At 42.2% G+C, this 22885-nt stretch overlaps 1 protein-coding gene across 4 annotated transcripts in view, besides 6 other annotated features; it reads right to left on the bottom strand.

Moving 5' to 3' along the window:
• GRHL2 (grainyhead like transcription factor 2) overlaps nucleotides 1-22885 on the bottom strand; it is a 188762-nt gene that overhangs the window by 29857 nt on the left and 136020 nt on the right. For all 4 annotated transcript variants that reach the window (NM_001440447.1, NM_001330593.2, NM_024915.4 and 1 more), the window contains exons 10-14: nucleotides 19620-19707; nucleotides 18979-19118; nucleotides 14416-14447; nucleotides 7119-7213; nucleotides 1845-1930 (exon numbers count right to left, since the gene is read on the bottom strand). In NM_001440447.1, coding sequence (NP_001427376.1) covers nucleotides 1845-1930; nucleotides 7119-7213; nucleotides 14416-14447; nucleotides 18979-19118; nucleotides 19620-19707 — 441 coding nt within the window. The remainder of the gene's footprint in view (nucleotides 1-1844; nucleotides 1931-7118; nucleotides 7214-14415; nucleotides 14448-18978; nucleotides 19119-19619; nucleotides 19708-22885) is intronic.
• Nucleotides 3935-4435: an enhancer, noted in NCBI's record as "H3K4me1 hESC enhancer chr8:102659137-102659637 (GRCh37/hg19 assembly coordinates)". NCBI's record gives its function as "activates a minimal SCP1, AML or CMV promoter by ChIP-STARR-seq in primed H9 embryonic stem cells {active_cell/tissue: H9 hESC(primed)}" and the evidence as "EXISTENCE:reporter gene assay evidence [ECO:0000049][PMID:30033119]".
• Nucleotides 6839-6918: an enhancer, noted in NCBI's record as "active region_27731". NCBI's record gives its function as "activates an Ori minimal core promoter by ATAC-STARR-seq in GM12878 lymphoblastoid cells {active_cell/tissue: GM12878}" and the evidence as "EXISTENCE:reporter gene assay evidence [ECO:0000049][PMID:35858748]".
• Nucleotides 6839-8043: a biological region, named in NCBI's record as "CDK7 strongly-dependent group 2 enhancer GRCh37_chr8:102655529-102656728".
• Nucleotides 6844-8043: an enhancer, noted in NCBI's record as "CDK7 strongly-dependent group 2 enhancer chr8:102655529-102656728 (GRCh37/hg19 assembly coordinates)". NCBI's record gives its function as "activates an origin of replication core promoter dependent on BRD2, BRD4, P300/CBP, MED14 and CDK7 cofactors, with strong dependence on CDK7, by STARR-seq in HCT116 cells {active_cell/tissue: HCT116}" and the evidence as "EXISTENCE:reporter gene assay evidence [ECO:0000049][PMID:35650434]".
• Nucleotides 7168-7667: an enhancer, noted in NCBI's record as "H3K4me1 hESC enhancer chr8:102655905-102656404 (GRCh37/hg19 assembly coordinates)". NCBI's record gives its function as "activates a minimal SCP1, AML or CMV promoter by ChIP-STARR-seq in naive H9 embryonic stem cells {active_cell/tissue: H9 hESC(naive)}" and the evidence as "EXISTENCE:reporter gene assay evidence [ECO:0000049][PMID:30033119]".
• Nucleotides 16729-17023: a silencer, noted in NCBI's record as "tiled region #9664; K562 Repressive non-DNase unmatched - State 21:Repr". NCBI's record gives its function as "represses a minimal TATA promoter and a strong SV40 promoter by Sharpr-MPRA in K562 cells {active_cell/tissue: K562}" and the evidence as "EXISTENCE:reporter gene assay evidence [ECO:0000049][PMID:27701403]".

Here is a 22885-nt window from a genome sequence, read left to right as displayed (position 1 = left end):
ATCAGAATCTCTAGAGTTGAAGTCAGAGAATATGCATTTAAGCAACTGCTTCTGTGGTTTTCAAATATCACTGTCCCCATTAAGTCAGTTTTGGTAATATAGTCTTAAAGGCCAGATTGGAGTATGAAATTATCCAAAGTTGTCCAGAGAGGTCTGAATATTTTATGAGCTTTTCCAGCTTATGAGCTTCCAGCTTAGTCTATCCCCTAGCAATCTTAGACTCATTTTGAAAATCTTGGTTTATTTCAATATATATAGATCATATTTTTGTGGCATTGATTTCTGTTTTTGTTTTTCCTTAATGTGAGGCAGATCCAGTAACAACAAACTCCATACTATGGAAAAATCCTATAGAAGAAAAAAGATGACCTAATCCTCCATCAGTGTGTTTCTTAGACGGAGGTCCTTGATGCTCCACTCGGAATTGCCTGGGGACTTGTTAATAACAGATCACAGAGGGCAGCGTGATGACATTGGTACAGTTTTTAAAAATTTCTGGTGAACAATGAATACTAGATAGATAGATAGATAGATAGATATCACAATTCACCATTTTAACCATCTTAAAGTGTATAATTCAGTGCTGTTTAGTAGATTCACAATACTGTACAACCATCACCTCTATCTAATTCCGAAACATTTTCATCCCCCCCAAAGAAAACCCATTAAGCAGTTGTTCCACCTCCTACCCCCATCCCCTGGCAACCACTAACTTGCCTTTCGTCTCTATGGATTTGCTTATTCTCAATATGTCCTATAAATTGAATCATACCACATGTGGCTTTTTGAATCTGGCTGAGCAATTCCACACCTTGGAACATACCCAAAAGAACTGGAAACAAGTATTCAAACAAAACTTGTCCATGAATGTTCATAGTAGCAGTATTCACAATAGCCAAAAGGTAGAAAAATTCCAATGTCCATCAACTGATAAGTGGAAATACAAAATGTGGTATATTTACACAACGGAATACTATTTAATCATAAAAAGAGTGAAGTCCCGATTACTACAACACAAAGGAAGCTCAAAAAAGAGTATCCCAAATGAAAGAAATGGTATGATTCCACTTACAGGAACTATCCCATATAGTTTAACATTTAGCTTCATAACCCAAGATGCTGCTCCAATGTAGCAGTTTTCCAAACCAACCAACAATTTTGAACTGTGTTCCTGGCAGTCCTGTTGTCTCTATCACTATAAAAAAACAAATCTTCTACAATATAGTTGTATGGGGCAGTGGTCCAGTGGGGGAGCAGTTGGGAGTGAAGGGAGTAAGGGAGTGTATTCAAAGTAGAGTTCTAGTGAGGTTATATTCAGGTGAATAACATACAAACAAAATGTAAAATAGCTTCTTGTGAGCCCAAGTTGGGTAATACTAGACAAGACCATGGGTAGGAAGGGAAAAGTCTTACTGCAAATCACTATAATTCTGCATTATTTTTTTTTCTTAACCAAGAGATCATATTTCTTTTGGACTACACCATCACGGCCAGTGAAACACTTGTTAATTGTTTTTGTTTTGTATATATTTGGGAGTTAATCATATCTAATTCGGTTTCATACCGAGAGACAAGTGAGAACTCAGTTTCACCTTCCTCCATAGCATCTAACTGTGATTAGCCTTAAACTGACAGGGAATTGGCAGTTTTTCAGTTTCCTTCTCCTCAAGATGCTAATAAGCCTTGACAGTAGCGAGATCAATGCCTCCACAAATCTTAGGTTTTTCTTGTTCTGTATAAAGCTCATTCTGAAGCCATCTCGGTGGCTGCACGTTAGTACATGGATTCCAGAGGAGAGAGAACACAGCAGGTTTCCTGGAGGCTGAAAGGAGTATATGGCTTACCGCTTCCATCAGGCCCTTCACTGTGGGAGACTTCAACATCAATGCATCGAACACATCGTCAGTCTCCTTCCTCACGTACAAGAGCACTGGAAGAGATGGGCAAGAGAGCCACGTGACCGAGGGGCTGCACAATTCCACAGCTGCTCCAGGGGACTGTTTCCTGTCACACAGGTGTTGGAGAGTGGCACCTCCTGCGAAGCCTCAGAACCCTGGTCCAGATAACTAACATTCAACAAGGGTGACTGAGACATCTCCATAAACAACCTGTGGCTAGGGACTGTGAAGGAGTGATTAGATGAGATAAACCGACAACCCGGCCGTAGGATGCTTTGACACAAATGTTCCCATTGGAATTTCTCCTGAGGGGTACATCGCATCTCTTTTTGCAACCTCTTTTCCTCTGTGTTATTTGTTCCTTTGACAAATATTACTGAATGCCCACCTGGGCCCATAGGCTATGTGTGCTAGGAGTTGGGGTTGTGGCAGTGTTAGTTAAATCACAGCCCCTGTCCTTAAGGATTTTGCAGTCCATTTAGAGAAGCAGGCTTTCCTCAAATAAGCAGACAACTAGACACAGGGTTATGGAGGAAAATGTCAGGAAACAGTGCTTATAGGGGCCTGGCCGTGACCTGGAGGGGTTGGGGGAAGTTCCTGGAAGGGTCCCTTGAAGGAGAGATCCAAGTTGTGAATTGTGTGTGCGTGAATGCAGGCAAGTGATGAGATGGGGGCAGTGGGGAGAAAGGGAGAAGAGGGAGAGCAAACTCCAGGCAGATAACAAACTTGCACAGGCCTGGGAGGGAGACGGGGCACTGTCCGAGACAAGGGGAGGAGCAGGCTTAGGATGTGGAGTCCCACGGGGCTGGGTTTGACCCCAGAGTGCAACCCCTGCTGTGGGCCTTGTTCATTTAAACTCTCCGAGCCTTGGTCTTCTCTGCGAAACATGGATAATAACATCTGCCTCGCAGAGCTACTGTGAGGGTTAAATGAAATAAAAGCCATGTGGCACGCTTAGCCCAGGGCCTGCACACAGCAAGCACCCGTCCTCGATCAGTGGGGGAAGCAGTTGTCATGGTTCTAGTGCCCTCAGTGAAGTGGAGTACAGCTTTTCTATTTATTTCTCTGCAAAATAACATTCTGAATTTCAGAACGTAGAGAGTATGAGAGATGATAGGGAAGTCTTGGCTATCTTTTAAGATGTGCACACTGAGGCTCAGAGAGGCTGAGACACTCCCCCAGGGTCCCACAGACGTGACAGCTGCTGGCTGATGTTCCTTCTGCCACCATTGCCCTTTCTGCCTGTCCCCATCCTTACAGCAGTTGTGTTGCAGCTCAGCTCCCAGAATAAACTTGGAACTGTCATTCAGAGGCCACCCTCATCCCCACTGAGTGGTCTCCCTCCTCCCAGTGATGTGGCCTCTGATTCTTCCTTCAGAGGGAAGGAAGAAGGTTAAGGCTGAAGCTCCATGGCCATCTAGGGAAAATGCACAAGGCAAAAAACCCTGCCAACTCTGGGTACCAGCGACACTCAGACACCAACAGAGCCATCAACCAGAAGAACAAAGTTGAAACTAGAAAATGAAATCAGCTCTCATCCAAACTCCCACCCCTCCTCCCCCTCCTCCCAATCCTGGGGGGACTTCATTAAAGCTGGTTGCTTCACAAAGGCCAAGTCTACACGGGTGCATGTGGCTTCTGCCTGCATTTCCTTTCTGCAGCCAGTGGATGTTCAGTTAGTGTATGAAAAAAAAAGAAAAAGAAAAAGAAAATAATGAACAGGTATTGCCGAGTCTCTTCTTTTTACCAAATATAAAAGTAAAACACCAATTAAATAAATAGAATGTGTCTCCAAAGATTTCCAAATTTAGTTCTTTGGAAGGAATATTTTATAGCCTTCATTTCAGCTAAAATAATCTAATGACCTAATGGCTATTATAAGAGGACTCAATGTTAGCGGTACAAGGAAAAATAATTAGAATACAGGACCTTAGTTACATCCAGATAAGGAAAATTAAAGTCAAGGAAAAAAGCCATTGATTGCTGCTGCAGATAAATAGTCTACAATTCTCTCTGCAGCCCCCAACAGGAAAAAAAAAGGAATTTCCAGCAGGCTGACCCCCAAACTATATTCTTTTTCTTTGAGACAGAGTCTCGCTGTCACCCAGACTGGAGTGCAGTGGCGTGATCTCAGCTCACTGCAACCTCTGCCTCCCAGGTTCAAGTGAGTCTCATGCCTCAGCCTCCTGAGTGGCTGAGATTACAGGCATGTGCCATCACACCCGACTAAGTTTTTGTATTTTTAGTAGAGAGGGGGTTTCTCGAACTCCTGGCTTCAAGTGATCCACCCGCCTCAGCCTCCTAAAGTGCTGGGATTATAGGCATGAGCCACCACGCCTGGTCCCCCAAACCATTTTCTATTATGAGTACTGCTTCCACTGGATTTACAAATCTCCTCTTTTGAAATCGTGGTCTTTGAAATGATATGGCTGCTCTTCTTGCTTCAGGTGTGGCTGGAAAGTGTTAAAGGGAGCCGCGTTGATGGGCCTTGGAGTGGCACCAGGCAGGGCAGCTCCACCGTTCCCCTGCTGGGCCTGTTGACAGCAACTCACAAGGTGTGCTGGGCTCACAGTCCACCCCCACAGCTTTCCCAGGGAGCCAGCTTTCATTACTCTGTGTCTGTGGCAGAGCAACTGAAGTAATCACTCTGCTGATAGTCGCAAGAACAACCATCATGCATCCCAGGCATTGTGCAGCCAAAGGCAGGTGGCCACATGGGCAGCCCCCAAGGGACTCCCACACAGACACCCTGCCACAAAGGCAAAAACCAATAATCGTGGCATTGGTAATAATTATGTTCATTCTCTCTCTTGGAGAACTTCTAACAAATAAACAAATAGGCAAAGTAATTGAGCCTTATTCCCCTATTTGTCAAAGACCAGCTCAGTGGATGCTCCAAGCAAGGGGCCCAGTAACCCCACTGACCTTTTCCAAAGAAAAATCACTCCCGAGGAAAGTGCCCGTTATTGCTGGAAGGTTACAGCGCCCTCATGTGTCTATGATTCAGATGTTTCAAAGGCCACAGCCCAGTACAATTTCTAGAGGCAATTTTTGTGCTGGTTTCACAATCTCAAAATAATCTGAAAAACAGTCTTTGGATTAACCTCCAAGCACTCTGTATGAAGGCTAGCCATAATTAGTTTCGCCTGTGTGATTCCGTGATTCTTGATTTCCATGTTACTGCCCTGACTCTATAGAAAAGCCATCCAAGAATGAGGTTCAAATGTACTGGAATATTTGATGGTGAGTTTGTGAAATCAGAAAATTTTTTAAAGGTTTGGCTAGGCATGGTGGCTAATACCTGTAATCCCAGCACTTTGGAAGGCTGTGGCGGGCAGATTGCTTGAGCTCAGGAGTTCGAGACCAGCCTGGACAACATAGTGAAACCCCATCTCTACCAAAAAATTAGCCAGGCATGGTGGCATGTGCCTGTGGTCCCAGCTACTCAGGAGGCTGAGGTGGGAGGATCGCCTGAGCATGGAAGGCAGAGGCTGCAGTGAGCTGAAATCACGCCACTGCACTCCAGCCTGAGTGACAATGAGACTCTGTCTCAAAAAAAAATTTTTTTTAAAGAAATTTTTGTAAACCTTTAAATGTTTCTAACGTAGCATTTATGCATTTATGCTGTTTCCATTCTGAAGCACTAATTACTTATCCACAGTTATGATAATATCACTTAACTAGTTACTAATAATAAAACTAACAGTTACAACAGCGAACACGGAGTGCTGCCTATGTGGGAGGTGCCTGCCTGAAGCGTCTCCCAGGTATTAACTCCTCAGTCCTCACACAGCTCTATGAGGTAGGCACTCCTGCCATCTCCTTTTTACAGATGAGGACGCCGAGGAGCAGAAGTGTGAGGAACCTCTCCAAGGTCACAAAACTGCAGGTGGCTGTGGCAGGCTACAGACGGGTTCTCTTGACCACAGTGCAAATCCCATTACAACAAACAGGAAAAAAATAAAATTTCTCAATAACAAAGTACTCAAGCCTATGCAGATGGCGGGCATATTTAACATGGTGAACTGACTCATTAAAAGTCCATGCAGCACTTCGGGAGGCCAAGGCGGCCGGATCACAAGGTCAAGAGATCGAGACCATCCTGGCCAACATTGTGAAACCCCGTCTCTACTAAAAATACAAAAATTAGCTGGGCGTGGTGGCACACACCTATAGTCCCAGCTACTTGGGAGGCTGAGGCAGGAGAATCACTTGAACCCAGGAGGTGGAGGTTGCAGTGAGCTGAGATCACGCCACTGCACTTTAGCCTGGCAACAGAGCAAGACTTTGTCAAAAAAAAAAAAAAAAAAAAAAAAAAAAAAAAAAAAATTCTGTACTGCTGGCAGACTGAGGCAAGAGGATAGCTTGAGCTCAGGAGTTTGAGACCTGGGCAACATATTGAGACCTCGTCTCTATAAAACATTAGACAGATTAGCCAGACATGGTGGTGCATGCCTGTAGTCCCAGCTGCTCAGGAGGCTGAGGTGGGAGGATAGCTGAAAGTCATCAGGTAGACGCTGTAGTGAGCCATGATCGTGCTACTGCACTACCTCCTGGGTGACAGAGCAAGACCCTGTCTCAAAAAAAAAAAAAAAATCCAGTACTGGCTAGGTCTTGGGTCTATAGAAGCCTCAGTGTTGGCTGCAGCAGGATACTGAGGGGAATGTGCACCCACACACTTTCCTCTTACTCCGAGGAAGGGCATGGAATCCTGTATGGCATTGACATGCTGGGCAAGACATGGGCACAGTCAAGCTTTGTTTCTTACCCTCTTGGTGAAGCAGAATAAGACCTTTGACTGGGAGAAAATGAGTAAGTGGTGATGCCACAGAAACCTGAGGCTCATTTATTTGGGTGAGATGAATAGTTTGCATGTATCAAATGAGGCTCAATCACTAGTTCTTATGAGGTATGACTGTCCACACACGCAGCAAGAGTTTCGTTCTTAACCTTGTACCTTGCTGCTGGATGAGTCTGTTTATTCATTACGTTCTCCCAAGGCAAAGGAAAGAACCAGCACCCAGGAATGACAAATGTTTTCTTAAGGTGTTGAAAGGACAGAGTTTAAAGCAAAGAAGAAGACTGTGGACTTCCTGTGTGAAGAGAAAGTCACCAGGCTGGCACAGAGCCATGGGGGCCTGGGCAAGAGGGCTGCAAGCTCTTCTTGGGAGAGACACCCCGCATCCCTTCTGAGAGGGCATGCCCCAGCAGGAGAGATACCTCGCTTTGTCCCTTCTTCTTTCATCTGCTTTGAAGGCACTGGACCAAACTCCTCTTCCATGGGCCGGAACATCCGTTTAACAAGGACACTGCCACTAGAAAAGATAAGCAGAAATCCTTAAGTAAAACCAGCAAGGTGTCAAAACACACGTTCACATGTGTGTCCGTTTCTGTCTTTCCCTTTGCTTATACCGTCCCTATGCTCCGTAACTGGATCTACTCACCAACCTCCTTCTTCCCCTTGCAGGTCCCAAGCAATCCCTGTCTGAAGCAGCACACACACCACTATCTTTAGGGCATGGACTTAACACGTGCTTCCCACTGCGGAATATGGATCCACAAAGGTGAGACTTCAAAAGTGGATTTTACCCACTCCGTCCTACACCTATCCCTTCTTTCTGCTCAAGATCGGGGCTGGGGGGAAGTAAATCCCTGGTGTCCACATGGTGTCCAAGTCACATCGTCCCCTCCCAACCAGCTGAGGCCTGGGTGGCCTGCCCCCTTTTGCCAGCCCCCTTGGGGGAACAGCAGAGAAATCTGGAAATGCTGTGAGCCTGACATGAGTTCTGTGATGTGGCTTTCCTGCCATTCCACCTCTCCCTCTGGCCGCAGCAGATGAGACTGCAGTGGTGGAAGTTCCTTACACACTCAGACCTTGGCTGCCCAGGCCTTTGCTCCTTCTCGGGAGAGGTTTGCAGTCCCCTTTCCCAGAAGCCTGCGGTGCTGAGGCCTTGCATGTCCCCAGCTCGGCTGGTTCTGATGTTTCTGCATTTCCTCCCACAGTCACTGTCCTTCCTTAGTCTCCCGGGTGCCCTAAGCAAGGGGAGGATTTTTTTTTTTTTTTTTTTTTTTTTTTGAGAGAAACAGAAACTAAGAGGATAGAAGTCATTGATACTGAGAAAATGTCCCCGAATGGAATCTTACTGTTTTTCAAACCTTCAAGGGAACAGATGCAGGTTTTTAGAAATTTTTAGTGTCTCTGAAGTCCTGGGACCCGGTGCTGATCACAATCCCGAAAGACACAATCCCAGATGCCATGATCCTGAATGTTGAAATCCCAAAAATATGACATGAGGGATTTTAGACTTCAGGGCTTTTGATCTTTTGAGATTTCAATATTCAGGATTAAGGGCCAAGCCTCCAGGGACCAGGCACGTGAAGAAATGCCAGATGGGTAGCTCAGCAGAACTGTTAAGACAGGAATTCTGAGACCACATTACCTTGGTTTAAATCCCTGCCTTACAATTTGCTGTAGGAGCCCGGACCAGTTCCTCAACTGTCTTGGGCCTCAGTCTCCTTATATTTAAAAGGAGGCTGTTAAGAAAATTGTATCCCATTTCATTGATGACAAAAGGTACAACGAGTTAAGTGTCAAATGCAGGGCAATGCAACTAATATGTGAAACAGGCTATTCAGAGAAGCACCTTTGAGGGAGCAACCTCATGATAAAGCTATTCAATAACCCTGAGATAATGAGGAAGGGTGTGAGAAATGCTCTTCAGTGTCAGCATCCTCTGAATTTATTTCCTAGTAAGTCAAACTATGGAAACAACTAGAGAAAAAACTTAAAACCCAGATCCCAGCTGAAGGTGGTAACTTATTGAAGTTTTTAGGGCAGTGTTCCCTCTGCCTTCCTCTTACTACCTTGTCGTAAAAGCAGGTCACGTTACTGTGTAACGTCTTGGAACTAAAGTGACCATGGCCTCAGGGCTAGAAGATTAAAAAACCCATTCACAGCAGTCAGTGACTAGTAGGTTAATCATAGGTAAATAGCCTGAAATACCACCAGACACTCCATCATGCTGTGTGAGGGTTCCTAAGCTAGTGACTTTCTTTTTCACCAAGCAAGATTTATTTATATTTTTCCAGTTCTGCTGACTTTTGATAGCACCCTGTTCTGAACCATGACAAACTCTGCCATTAAAATAACATCTTGGATAAACCACATTTATTTTGGGAGTTCAAAAATACTTTTTCACACTTTCAAATCTATAAACTCAGTAGGAGTGAATAAGTTTATGTGGCTCAAATTCAACTGTTTCATTTGTTTTCAAAGCAAGGCAAGAAAAGAAGGGCAGATATGACTGCCCCATTTGACAGATGTAGAAAGCAAATTTCAGGTCTCCTGATGCCCAGTCCAACTGCAGCCCACCCTCTGTAGCTGTGGGTTTCACAACCATAGCTTCAACCAACCACAATAAAAAAATTCAGAAAAAATTTGCATCTGTACTGGACATGTACAGACTTTTCCTTATCATTAGTCCCAAAACAATACAGTATATCAATTACTTACACAGAATTTGCATAGGATTAGGTATTATAAATAATCTAGAGATGATTTAAGGGAGGATGTGTGTCAGTTATAGACAAATACTATGCCATTTTATAAAAGAGACTCTTCAGTCTGTAAATTTTGGTATCCGTGGGCGGTCCTGAGGCCAATCTTCCACAGATACTGAGGGATAAATGTACCACAAAAGGACTGGAGAGCAAGAAAAGGGTGCTTTCTCTGACATCAATTTCCATCTCCCTGGCACAATGTGGTGGTTATTATGTAGAATGATTCTAGGCCCGGCAGCACATTCAGCCATTACCTTGTAGGATCAACTCAGGGAAATCAAGTCCCTGAGGTATAAAGGTAGTGCTAAGTTTCATTGGAAAAACAGTGGGAAGGTGTCAGGTCTGAACCATGGATCTCTGGCCATACCTGTAAAAGGCAATGTTGCAGCCTACCTTCCAGGGTCAACTTCACTAGGCATTGTTTGCCTACTGAGGAGGTGCTCAAGAAGAGGAAAGAATGGGGTTGCAGGCACCACGGAGATGTAGTTTGCCTATTTCTCAATTCTGCTTGTGGCCTATGTATGCGGTTACCATGAATGCCCTACCTAAATGGAAGTCCCTTGCCCATGTTATCCTCAGAAAACAGGTCATCTTATATTCAAATCTGCACAAAGTCTTTCACATTATAAAGTAGGGTCTGAATCCATTTATTTTCAATGAATTACTCTTTGGGGAAGAACTTAGCCCAAAATGATTTTAATCAATGCTAGTTTAAGATGTTTAATATAAATCATTTGAGAGAATCAGTAAAAAACCAAAAACAAAAAACACACAACATAGATTTAGTAACTGTTACTGAATTATGAGCTCAAAATTGCAAGTCATGACTAGGTCAGTAGGCCCCAGAGGAATCATTTTCAAAGGTAATACAGATATTTCTGTTTCCTGCTAAAATGTTATAGCTTGTGGCAGACCAATGTTCCAGCCAAGAAGACTTGAAAAACCATTGAAGAGATTATACATGGTGGTTCCAAGGGAGATCATGGTATGTGGTGTGCCTTTAAGAAGCATGGGAGAAAATAAAGTCTTGGAGAGAGTTGAGGTCTGAGCATCCCAAGCAGCCTGGAAATGGTAAGATCTTGAAGAGAAACCACTGACCTCTGAACACATGATCACCCAACCCTACCAAGGATACTACTGCCCCAAATGCAGTGTAGAAGCCACAGAGCTGCTTGACTTGAAGGGACCTTGCTGCAAGCTGGAAAAAGAGGACCTCAGCGGGGCCCACTGGGGACAGAGGATCAGGGCAAGAGGGGTTTCCAAGAAACCAGAGGTCAGATGTAGATGAAGACCAGATCTCCAGAAATAATGGAAATAGAATTTATCATCATGCATGCTATTTGCATATCAACTTGCATATTATTTCAGGGGAGTTTAAAGCCTGCCCCTCTTTCTCCATAAGAGACATCCATAAATTCCACATTAAAGGACCATTCTCTACAGAAAATTATTTGTTTGGCTTGTTCTTTCTTTTCATCTCTATCTCCCTCTCTTCCATTTCTCAATTAAGTATCATTTTTTTCATGGTCTGAATAGGAATCTTAACAATAACAATAGCTATGATTTAAAAAAAAATCAAATTCTGTGTGTCAGGACATTCTATACATTAATGCTTATAATAACGCTAGCAGGTGGCTATTATTATCCTGCTATTTTTAGATGAGAAAACTGAGACTCTAAAAGATTGTTATTTTAAGTTAAGAACTTCTAAGATCAAAACCAGATTCAAATTGTGGCTGACTGGCATGATATTTTTTAAACCCCCAGGTGATTCGATTGTGCAGCAAGGGACCTGGTGTTGAGAACTGCTGTCTGAAAGACTGTTTCTAACTGTCATATCCCCTGCCTACCAGACTGGTAATGCAGAGAAGTCAACACATCTGCATGATTGTGGGGTTACCAGGAGAGGGGCTCTTGTGTGTTATATCCTCAGTCTGGTCATTGTGTGAGTGATGATTTTAAGCACTCATTTGCATACTTGAACACTAATGTGAGCATTAATTTATGTGAGTATTAATCAACGTGGCAGGGAGAGGAAAGAACGTGGCCAATGAGCAGTCCTGATGGAAGCTGTACAAATACCAGCGAAGCTGGCACTCCTTAGGGCTAGGTGAACACATATGGTGGCCTCAGATCTGCTCCCCTCTGCCAGACACACTCATCTGGGCTTGTCACAATCTAGGTCCTACACTCCAAGGAATGAACCAAGGGTGTGCCTTTGTCAAGGCTGGAAAGTTATCTCAGGGAGGGCCTGTCTCTCAATACATACTTTATAGCCACAGGTCAAGAATTAAGAGGGTTACACAGTAGAGCATCATGGCTAAAAGCCAGTGATGGGAAATGCAGTGAAACCCAGGTTTAAATCCTGCCTCCATCACTTACCAGCTGTGTGTCTTTGAACAAGTCTCCTAATCTCTTGAAGCCTCAGTGTCCTCATTATAAAATGGGAGTCATGGGAAATCTGGGGGAATTCAATGAGTTCATGCATAAAGCACTTAGCACGGTGCCTAGCCAAGGTATCCAGTAATGTTAATTATTACTTTTACACATCACAATAGCTACACACCTACCATGTCTTAACTCTGGTTCCAATGCTGTTCATGTCACTCATTCAAACTCTAGTGAGATGTGTAAGAGCAAAAGATGCAGACCTTGGGCCTCAAGTTTGTACAATAACACAGGGTGAGCCAACACAGAGAAGTCAAACCAATGGAGTTACAAGTAGGTCGATGGCCATCTAACTGCAGTCAGCTTGCAAGGAAGGACAGTTTGAGGTGAGACAGATTTACAACTGAGGCCTGCACATCAAGGAGCATTCAGGATCTCAGGCCCTTCTCACTCATAATACTAAGTTTTCCCATGAGAACAATAGCATGTTAGTGTTGGATGGAATCTTCGAGATCTTACGCAAGATGCTCAATGTCAAATTAAGGAAACCAAAGCCCAGAGATCAAGGAGCTGGCCCAAGGCTTCACACTGGTAGGCGGCAGTCCAGGAGTGGAACTTGGGCTTCCTGAGCTCAGAGTCAATGTTGTTTCTGTGACGCCACATTGTGCCTCATTAAACATGGGAATTACTGATTAGAATTGACAGTGCTAGTCATTTATGTTCATTCTAACCGCTGGGAATGTATTATCTATGTGCCAAGATAAAAAGAACAGTCTAATTAGGCATTTAGAAAATTTAGAACTCAGAATTTAGAGGTTAAGTGCTGGATGAGGTTCTGCTCCTCATTAGCTAGGGAATCATTTGACTCCTTTGAGATTTTCTATCTTTTAGGATAGAAGGTGGCAAACTTTTTCTGTAAAGGGGCAGGCAGTAAATATTTAGACTTTGCAGGCCATATGGTCTCTGTTGTAACTAGTCAACTCTGCTGCTGTAGCAGCAAAGAAGCCACAGACAATACATAAACAAATTGACACAGCTGTTTCCAGTAGCACGTTACTTAAGGACACTTGGATTTTATTTAATTTTCACATGTCATGCAATATTCTTCTTCTTTTGAATTCTTTTCAACCATTGAAAAAATGTAAAAACCATTTGTAGTTTGCAGACTATACTAAAATAGGCGGTGGGCCTGATTTGGTCCTCTGGCTATAGTTTGCCAACCTCTGCTCTAGGAATAAACTCAGCAATATCTGCTCCAATTTGCCAACTGTGAAATGTTTTGCAAGTAAATATATTAATTATATAAGAATAGGGAAGCCCTGGTTTGACTGTAGTTTGAAGAAAAAACATCTAAAGATTTTAGTGACACACAGGTAACGCAACCAAGAACATAAAGTAGCTATTGAAAATGCATGTAGTTCTAGATTGCTTTGAGTATAAAATAGCATCCAGGTCCTAAGAAGAAATCTCCCAATATAATCTGCAACTTATGTGGTTCAGAACATATATTTATTCTGACCCAGCCAATTTTAAGGAGACTACTAACAAATTTAGTACTATACCTTGGAGGGAAATTAAGATGTTGAGAAGTAAAACTGTATTTTACCAAGAACAGTTGCAGGGAGGAAAGGGGTGTTTGAATGACGAGGGAAGATGAGACTTATCCAGAGAGCAGAACTAAGGCCAACGGGTAGAAGTCAAAAGAAGGTAGACATCAGCTCAACAGACAAAAGAACTCCCTACGAGCTGGAATCGTCCAATAGTGTGATGAGCTATCTCACACACATGAACTCTCCATCACTGGGAATTTTCATGTAGAAAATGGCTGACTGCTTGTCAAAGAGGTGGTATAGCTATTACCATGATCTACGAGAGGAGGTCAGCTAAATGACCTTAAGGTTTCTTTTTGGCCCTAAAATTCTGAGTCTACAAACTGAATTAATGGATAGAAAGCACTTTGAAGATCTGGCTGCTCCTAAAAGCCTGCAGGACCACATTCAGGATGTGGAGACATTGGGAGTCTCTGTGACTGTCTCTTACCTACGATTGAAAAGGCTCTCAGTCCAACTGGTATTCAAACCAGCCTCACTACTGGCCTGCCAGGCTAACTTCTCAGGGACAGGGCTTTGAGAGTTGTGTGTGCATCCCAGGCAGTACTGGAAGAAGGGTAGGCTGTCATCTTTGACTCTTGCCTCAAGCTCATCTTGATCTTGTGTTGGGGCCAAACAATAGGTAAGAAGGACTACTGAGAAGATTTCACCAACTGGATTATTGATGAAAGGATGGAATGGAAGGGATCGGTCCCTTAGAAAAACAGCTAGTTATTCAAAGGGGTGGGTCTTAGGGAGGAAGCGGGTGGGGAAAGAATCCTGGAAGTAGAAAGCTATTCATTCCTCCAGCCCCCAGCCTCCCTCCCAGATGGTCCCCAGAATCAAGCGTCTCTCAGCTCTGAGTCCTGAGGTGAGAGGAGGGTTTCACTTCCTGCCTAGGGTTACCAAGTGCTGGAAGAGCCATTACCACTGACATGAGCTGACTTGGAGTGTTGAAATGAAAGAACTGAGTGTCTTACCCTTCTCGTTCATCATCCGTGTTGTAATACACCTGTGGAACAAAACAATAGGCTTACTGTAGGTCAGAGACAAGAAATGGAAAAAATATTACGTGATGTACAGACTTTCCTAAGGCATAAACTGTCTCTTAAAAAGGCAAAAGACTAATCTGTTTAATAACAGTGTGTGTGTGTGTGTGTGTGTGTGTGTGTGTGTGTGTGTGTATTTCTAAGGAAATGCATATTTAAGTTCCTTATAATCTCCATGGGGTTAATTCCTAGATTTTAATAAAATAAAATTGGAAATCTGATTATTTCTAGCTAAAGTCAGTCTGATTAGATTAACTATGGCATTAAGCCAAATCTTCCTTTTGACATTAAGGAGACATTTTGGCGGGATCTAAAATCCATTGTTTACAAAGGCTCTGGCTTTGCAGGGTGGGTCCTTTCCTGCCCCCTGTGTAGCACAGTGTCTGGAGTCAGCTTGTCTGTGGACCAAATGCGGGATGGAGAGTGGGGTAAGAGGGCAGTGTGACAGTAACTAGGCCTGTCTACTTACTCCCCAAAGGGGCCCGGGGTATCCTGGCATCCCGCAACCACAGAAATTTGGGAGTCAACAGTCTTCAGGCCAGGAAAGGTCATTTAGCTCTGGAAGGTGTTCCTGGCCAGAAGGAAGATCTCCAAAGACAGACTTTAGGTAGTTGGCATGGCAGAAGGCAGAATCAGATTAAAGAAATTATGAAGCATCCTTATTATTTTATAGAACCATGGGAGAAACCCAGAGGGCATCTGCTGTGCATATATGTCCTCTTGACCCAATTATCTGTAAACACTAATTGTGGGTCTTTTGTCATCTTTATCTGTGTGTGTCAGGACTGTTGCCTTTGAGTGAAGAATAATACCTGAGTTAGTATCAGACATTTACATATTAACTCAAAAGTAGCCTCTGATCCTAGTATATTAGTCACTGTCCCTGCCCCTGCCTGGGTGAGAAACAGCTGTGTCTAGATAGACAACCTCCCTGCAAACTCTCTCAAAGGCTCTTGGCAGTTCCTGGGATGCTGCCAAGCCTAGACCTAGTTACAAAACAAGACTGGTTACCTGGAACTCTCTGGGAATGAGTCATTCTAGTCATTAGCTCAGATTTCTACAGGAATTTTTCCTCTTAATTTTTTAATGGCTGTTGTTGTATTGTTTATTTAGTTTCTTCTTAAACAGAAAACAGTGGAGGTAAGTTTTTTCTCCCCACAACAAGTCTCAGTGTGGCATTCAGAGCAACTGTCATTGGGATGTACTAGGAATAGGACTGCCTAATTTAATGAATATAGAGTAACCCACCTAAGTGAAGGAGGCTGGGGCATTCCACTGGCCATGCAACTGGATTATTTTGATAAAGTTCCCCATGTTGGCTTGTGTTTTGCTGCTTTCTTTAAACATGGCATAGTGTATCTATCTGGCCTGACTGCTGGCCTCTACAAAGTTGGTTGGTGACTAAAAGATGGAAGCAGCCTTCTGTTAGGTGTTTTCCCACCCTCCTGAATGGCCTCTACATCACTGTCCTATCACTGTCCCTTCTTTGTCATTTCTCCTCCTTGCCCATAAAGACCCACTATTTCTTCCATGTCAGCTGTTGGGCCCATTGCACTAACTTAATTTTTAGAGCATGTTTTTCAAACTTTAGAGTGCATAGAAATATCTGGAGACTTTATCATAAATAAAAATTCCTGGAACTTACTTGGGGAATTTTAACTCAAAAGATGAAGGATGGAACTCAGGAATCCGAATCCTTATCAAGAACTCCTGTGATGTGGGAAAAGTTTTTTTACAAACAACAGTGCAAGAGATGGTTTTTGAGTGTGTGAGAGAGGAGTCCTCCTTGGGTTCAAGTACTTTGGGGAAGGCTAATGCCTGCAAAGTAGACATTATCTAAAAAGATGATGCCGCTGCATCCCACCATTTTTCCCAATCTCGCCTAATCTCATGACCTTTAAAGGCGTCCAGACATAAACAGCCTGAATATCAGGGCTTCAGTATCAGGCGAGTGAGACTGAAGGGCTCCATAGCACCTGCACATTGGATTTATTCCTTCATACTAGTTTTGATAAGTGTCTGAAGAATATTTCAATCCACAAGTGAATCAATGAGATCATCAGTGGGGTGGGGGGCAGGTGGCCTGAGAGTGAAATACCCACTCCCCAAGTCATGTCCTTGAGTGAACAAGGACTGCTGCCCCATAGCTTCAGCATAGCTTGAGGGTGCCTCACTGGCCATGAGAACCACAGGGCTGCTGGCCCCGCAGTTGTGCACAACTGCATTGCAGCTAATTTTAGCAAGTCTCAGGACTGCGGCGGTTTCTGAGATGGACACCAATCCTTGCGTCTCTCTTGCTCCCCTTTCTCTTTCTACCCACTTAAGGGAAACCAGCCATATCCATTGACCTGCCACTGCTGGCTCTTGTTCTGCAGGTCAAAGTTAGCCAATCTCTGCTCCATCCCCAAATCTAAGGCCATGGCACTGCCTCTTCCCTCCTGTCTTTGGAAGGATCTCCCAGGCATCTAACTTTTTTGAGAAAAGGCAGTCTGAAAGTCCCTAGCCACTGTCCAAGCTCCTTTCCTTCAGCTAAGCCAGCTGATCAACCACAGGATAGTCACAGGTTGTTCTAGGGACAGCTGAGTGTGTTCCTTTTTTGCCAGAAGCTCAGGGCAGGCTTCTTCATTGACCCCCTCATCTCCAAATCCAAGGCCATGGGAGAAGCCTGAGAGCTCTGAGGAAGGCCTCCAGATATACAGGGGGATATATAGGCAGGATATACAGGGGGGTGCTGATTGGACTGCCTGGCAAATGCTGAAACCAACAGACTGAAAAGTCTGCACTTTTCCTTCTGATTCCACCTCAGGCTGACAGCCGGGCTTATGACACCCGGGGGCAGGAGAGGTCAGCGGACTGACAGTCAGGAGCAGCTAGGTAAGGCCACTTTTCCTCTTCAGATTAATTTACACTTTGTATATTTTGGAGAAATCTTGCCAACAGAACAGGTCAGGTTGCCAGCTTTGACATGGAACTGAGGCCAGAGTTATGACAGTAAACTAAACAATAAGAACAATTTAACTCAACTATCCCTTCTTCTGGAAGGTGTGGAAACCTAGCCCCATAAAATCCCATGGGGCACAGACAGTGCAGACACAAATCATCACCATGGTCTTGGGAATTAAAAAAAAAATAGGTACTGGCATGCTTATCTTGATAAATTATAAAATTCTTCCTCCCTACTTTGTGTCCTTGTTCTTATCCAACAAGTAAGACTGGATGAAAATGTTAAATGGGTTTTTAGTGTTGATGTGTTTTAAGAAACAGCTATAGGCATTTTATTACCATGTTGGGTCATGAATAACAACAAAAAAGCCGTGGTTGTAGAGTTGCTCTGTCTCATGAATCTAATAAAAGAACACAGAATACTAGGGGACAAAATACATCCAAAAGAGAAAGTAAAGCCAGTAGGGATTTCTCTTTCTACACCAAGGTCAATTCCATTGAGTGTTTGCATGCTTAGAATGCAAGAAAAACTTAAATGTGTCAGTATGCTCCTGTTTCTCAAAACAGATGTTTCCTCAAAGGACTTTGGGTTTAAAAGAAAACTAATTGATACAAAAATTCATTAAAACCCAATTGATTTGGTGAAAAACAATTCTGGTTAATGCTAAGGAAATAATTATTTTTTCTTTTTTCACACAATTTTTTGTTTATCACATAACAGAAATAATACTAAAAATAAAAAGAAAAAATCAGCCATATCTCATAACCCTGTAAAAAGTGTTGCAATTTTTCTTGCTCCCTTCAAATTCAGTTATATATTTGGGATCATAATATGAACACAAATTACTATTCTACATTTTTTTCCACTGAACATTATCATAACTAGGTCCCATGTTGCTATGTAGTTTCCATAATTAAAATTTTAGTGACTGCATAATATTCCATCAACTTGAGCTACCATAATGAGTTAATTATTGGACATTTATGTTAGTTTGAGATCTTTCGTTTCACTTGTAGATATAACTAGAAGACAGGAATTTTTTTAAGGGGGCTTGCCTACAACCTCATTTTTCTTTTGATGTGAAATGATTTACCTATTAAATGGGAACTTTTTATTTACTAAGCGAAAATTTGTTGAATGAGTTTTATTTAAGCGGAGACTTCCCTCTTGTGCAACTTTATGCAGTTACAGGTGCAGTTCAACTTCTCACCATTAGGTGGAGCTCTATTGTGTTTCAGGATAATCCTGGCCATGACAAAGTTGACAGAACAAAACTTCTTACAGGTTATCAGCCTTCTCACTTTCTTCCTCTTCCACGCTTTGTCAAGGCTTCACTAATATCAGCTTACTCTCCTCTTCGACTTAGTTTCCTCTCCTGAGACATTCCTTTCTATAAAAATGCATTTACTATAGGGAATGACATTGACTTTTTCTCTAGTGAATGGAAGGTAAGTTATTTTTGAGGTCAACACTGTCTGAAATGCTTCTATCTTAAAGCCCTACTTGCCCTGTGGATGGATGGGAGGTGGGCGTTAGCTGGTAGGTCATACCTGTCCGGTCCTCTGCAGGTTTGCAAAGTGAACATCAGGTATGAAGAGAACTGGCTGTGAGTGGAGATCAGGCATGGTTTTGAAGTAGGTGATGTCACTCTTCTTCTGTAAAGGTATGGCAGCCAACTTCCCATCAGAGGCTGGATGGGATCACACAAACTCATAAATGAGAGAGTCATATATGACTAAGAACTCTCAACTGTAAGTCCTAAAGTCCACGATTTTCTCATATGAAGCTTTCTGAATACCATAGATGTGAACACACTTCAACACCTCCCACCACCTCATCCCAGCAAAACAAACAGGAGCGTAGACTTCAAGTGAGCACTGCTGAGGTGAAGCTCGAGGCCCCTCACACCCTCCTGTCCTTTCATGCACCCAAGATTCCTTGTCTGCAGAAGGAGGATGCTGGTCTCCACATTATTACAAAGTCCTTCCTAGCTCAAACACACTGTGCTCATGTGATTCTATTTGCTTTTCACAGGGATAATCAATCACCCTGTCTCCACTGCCAGGGGAAAGCAAACCATGCCTTGCATGTATGCAGTTTTACCTGCAACCCACTTCTTCCACCTGTTCCCCCAGTGGACACAGCCCACCTGGAGTCTTTAGAAAGCAACATTAGTCTCAGTGAAACTCACAGCTGTTGCATTGAGTTTGGGAGGCCTGGCCTTTCCCTTTCTTCCTGTTCTGCTTCCGCTCTTCATCTCGGATTTTTCTTTCTGCTCCCTGATAGGAAAAAAACAAATACAGAAAATGCCAGGCATATTAGCAGAGCATGCAAAAGTCATGTCACACATAAGTCATGAGGATATGAAACAATACAGGGGAGGAGGTAACCAAGCAGCCCCATTTCCATTCCTCTGGCAAGGTTGGGTTTGGCTCTGAAAGCCAAGACCACTCATAAGTCTATACCACATTTGTGACCTGTGAGGGATCCCACCTCTCCCAGATTTTCTCTCCTTTTTTGGTATCTTTCCTATTTAAAGAAATTCAGTTTTGAATCCATATGGAAAGAATCAACCCAGTTCCCTAAACCAGTGAAATCCATTAAGTGACTTTAGTGATTATAATAAAATGTCAGAAGATGAATCATTGACCCATTAAATTTATTCCTAGGCATGGAGAGGGCTTTAAAGTGTGAATTCCCTATAAAATGTTTCCTTTGCTTTCCTTTTAAGCTTTAAAAAATTATTACAGTGGTGGAAATGAAAGAAGCCATAAGGAAACCACACAAGATGTAGGACCACTTTGTACATGTAAGCATGGTTTTTGTTTTTGTTTTAATATTTCCATATGTTCTTAGAGATGGTGCTCATTCAACCAAATAGAAAAATGTTTAGTCTATTAAACTCCTTTTTGCTCCTCTGTTTTTGCAATTTGGCTTTTTCATGGGCACCTCTTGCCAAATTGCCAAATCGCACCCTACTTAACCAATTGACCACCACCTTATATCTCTTTACTTCCTGGCCTATAATGATGCCCTATCTTTTCTCTTTGGTTATTTCTCTATATGAGCTTTGAGAACTCATTTTCTTCTCCTTATCCCCCAAATATAGACATTCCAACGTGGGTTCCTTTTCCTTGCTCTATCTCTACTCTTGCTGTGGAAGAATTAACCTGTGTCTTTGTTTTCACAAGGCACTAGGCAGGTGACACTCTGATCAACATCTCCAACCTAAACTCCTTCCCTAAGTTTCAGATTCACATTTACAGTTCTTGCCCATTGTGGTGGCATATTTAGGGAGCAGTAATGCACAGAATGGCCAGCAACCTTTCACCCTTCCGAAATTGTCCCCAAATCATCACATACAAAACAGATAGATTTAACAATACAAAAATGTAATCCTTCTGTATGCAAACAAATCAATCAAAAGACAAAGGACAAGTTGGCGAAAATACTTGCAATAAAATATCACATAAAATATCAAATCCTTAATATATAAATAATGGTTCAAATTTTAAAAACAGCTAACATACTGATAGAAAAATGGACAAGAGTCATGAAATAGGCAATTCACAGAAAAAGACGCACAAATGGTTTGAATTATTACAAAACAATGAGATATATTTTTTGTTTATCAAATTGGCTTTTGTAGAAAAGCAGATTCCCAATTCTGGCCAGCATGACGCCATGACACAGTGAGAATTTATGGTCAATGAAGGCTTCACAAAAGAGATGCCTTATGGCTTTTAAACTAATTTTTGGAGAATGAGTAATAATAGCTAACTCTGTGCCAGGGAATTTCTAAGAGCTTTACATAATAGAATTGAAATAGCTGAATATTTTAACCAGATCATTTAATTATGCATTTTTATATTTTAAAAACTACCAAATGGAATAATTATCTTACTTATTACCAAAGGGGGGGATTTTATAGTGCTTCATATGAAGTTTTGAATTGTCATTGACACTTGCAGATCATGGAAATTCACAGCAAAAGAGGCATAAAATATAAAACTATCTGCTTGGGAAGTCTCTTCATGATATATAAAGGTTTTATACAGTTTTGTGCTAGAAAACATATTTTCAAAAAATGAAGTGTTAAATGCGCAGATACGATCTTCAATTGGATGTGAAACATAAGCAAAGGGGTTCTTCAAAATACTAAAGTCTGTGATAGGAAATATTTTTTTCTTGGGTCCATGTAAGGCATTTTTCTATGTGCTAGGGACTCTGTACAATATAACATTTAATATAAATAAAATTTAGATATTTGTTAACCTGTATAAATTATAGCTGCCCCCAGAAACACCCCAAGTTGGGTCAAGGAATTTGATTTCTGAGTTAATGTTTTATTTTGTACTATTTATGAGGAAAGGGACAAGAATTAATCTGTTTCAAGATTTATATACAAGCATACCTCAGAGGTACTGTGGGTTCAGTTCCAGACCCCCATAAAAAAACAAATATTGAAATAAAAAGAGCCGCACTTTTTTTGTTCCCCAGTGCATAGAGAGGTTATGTTTGCACTATACTATATCAAGTGTGCAATAGCGTTATGTCTAAAAAATGTACATACCTTAACTTAAAAATACTTCATTGCTAAAAAAAAAAAAATACACACTGAGGCTTTAGCAAGTTGTATTCTTTTTGCTAATAGATGGTCTTACCTTGATGTTAATAGCTGCTGACTGATCAGGGTGAGGGTTGCTGAAGGTTGGGGTGGCTGTAACAATTTCTTACAATAAGGCAAAAATGAAGTTTGATGCATGAATTAACTCTTCCTTTCAGGAAAGATTTCTCTGTAACACGTGATGCTGTTTGATAGCACTTTACCCACAGTAGGACTTCTTTCAAAATCGGAATCAATCCTCCCAAGCACTGCTGCTGTTTTATCAACTAAGTTTATGTAATATTCTAAATTCTTTTTTGTCATTCCAACAATGTTCACAGCCTCTTCACCAGTAGTAGATTCTATCTCACTTTCTTTGCACATCCATAAGATGCAACTCCTCATATGTTCAAGTTTTCTTATGAGATTGCAGCAATTCAATCACATCTTTAGGCTCCACTTCTAGTTCTAGTCTTGCTGTTTCCATCACATCTGCAGTTACTTCCTCTACTGAAGTACTGAACACCTCAAAGTCATCCGTGAGGGCTGGAATCAACTTCTTCCAAACTCCTGTTAATTTTAATATTTTGACCTCCTCCCATGAATCATGAATGTTTTTAATGGCATCTAAAATGGTGAATTCTTTCCAAAAGGCCTTCAACTTACTTTGCCCAGAACCATCAGTGGAATCCCTATCTACACCAGCAACAGCCTTACAAAACATATTTCTTAAATAAAAAGACTGGAAAATCAGAATTATTCCTCGATCCATGGGCTGCAGAATGGATGTTGTTGTGTTAGCAGGCATGAAAACAATATTAATCTTTTTGTACATCCCCATCAGAGCTCTT

Source organism: Homo sapiens, chromosome 8 (assembly GCF_000001405.40).
Source record: "Homo sapiens chromosome 8, GRCh38.p14 Primary Assembly".
Lineage (NCBI taxonomy): Eukaryota > Metazoa > Chordata > Mammalia > Primates > Hominidae > Homo > Homo sapiens.
The sequence above is the reverse complement of the archived record's forward strand: the minus strand, read 5'-3'. Positions and strand labels throughout refer to the sequence as shown.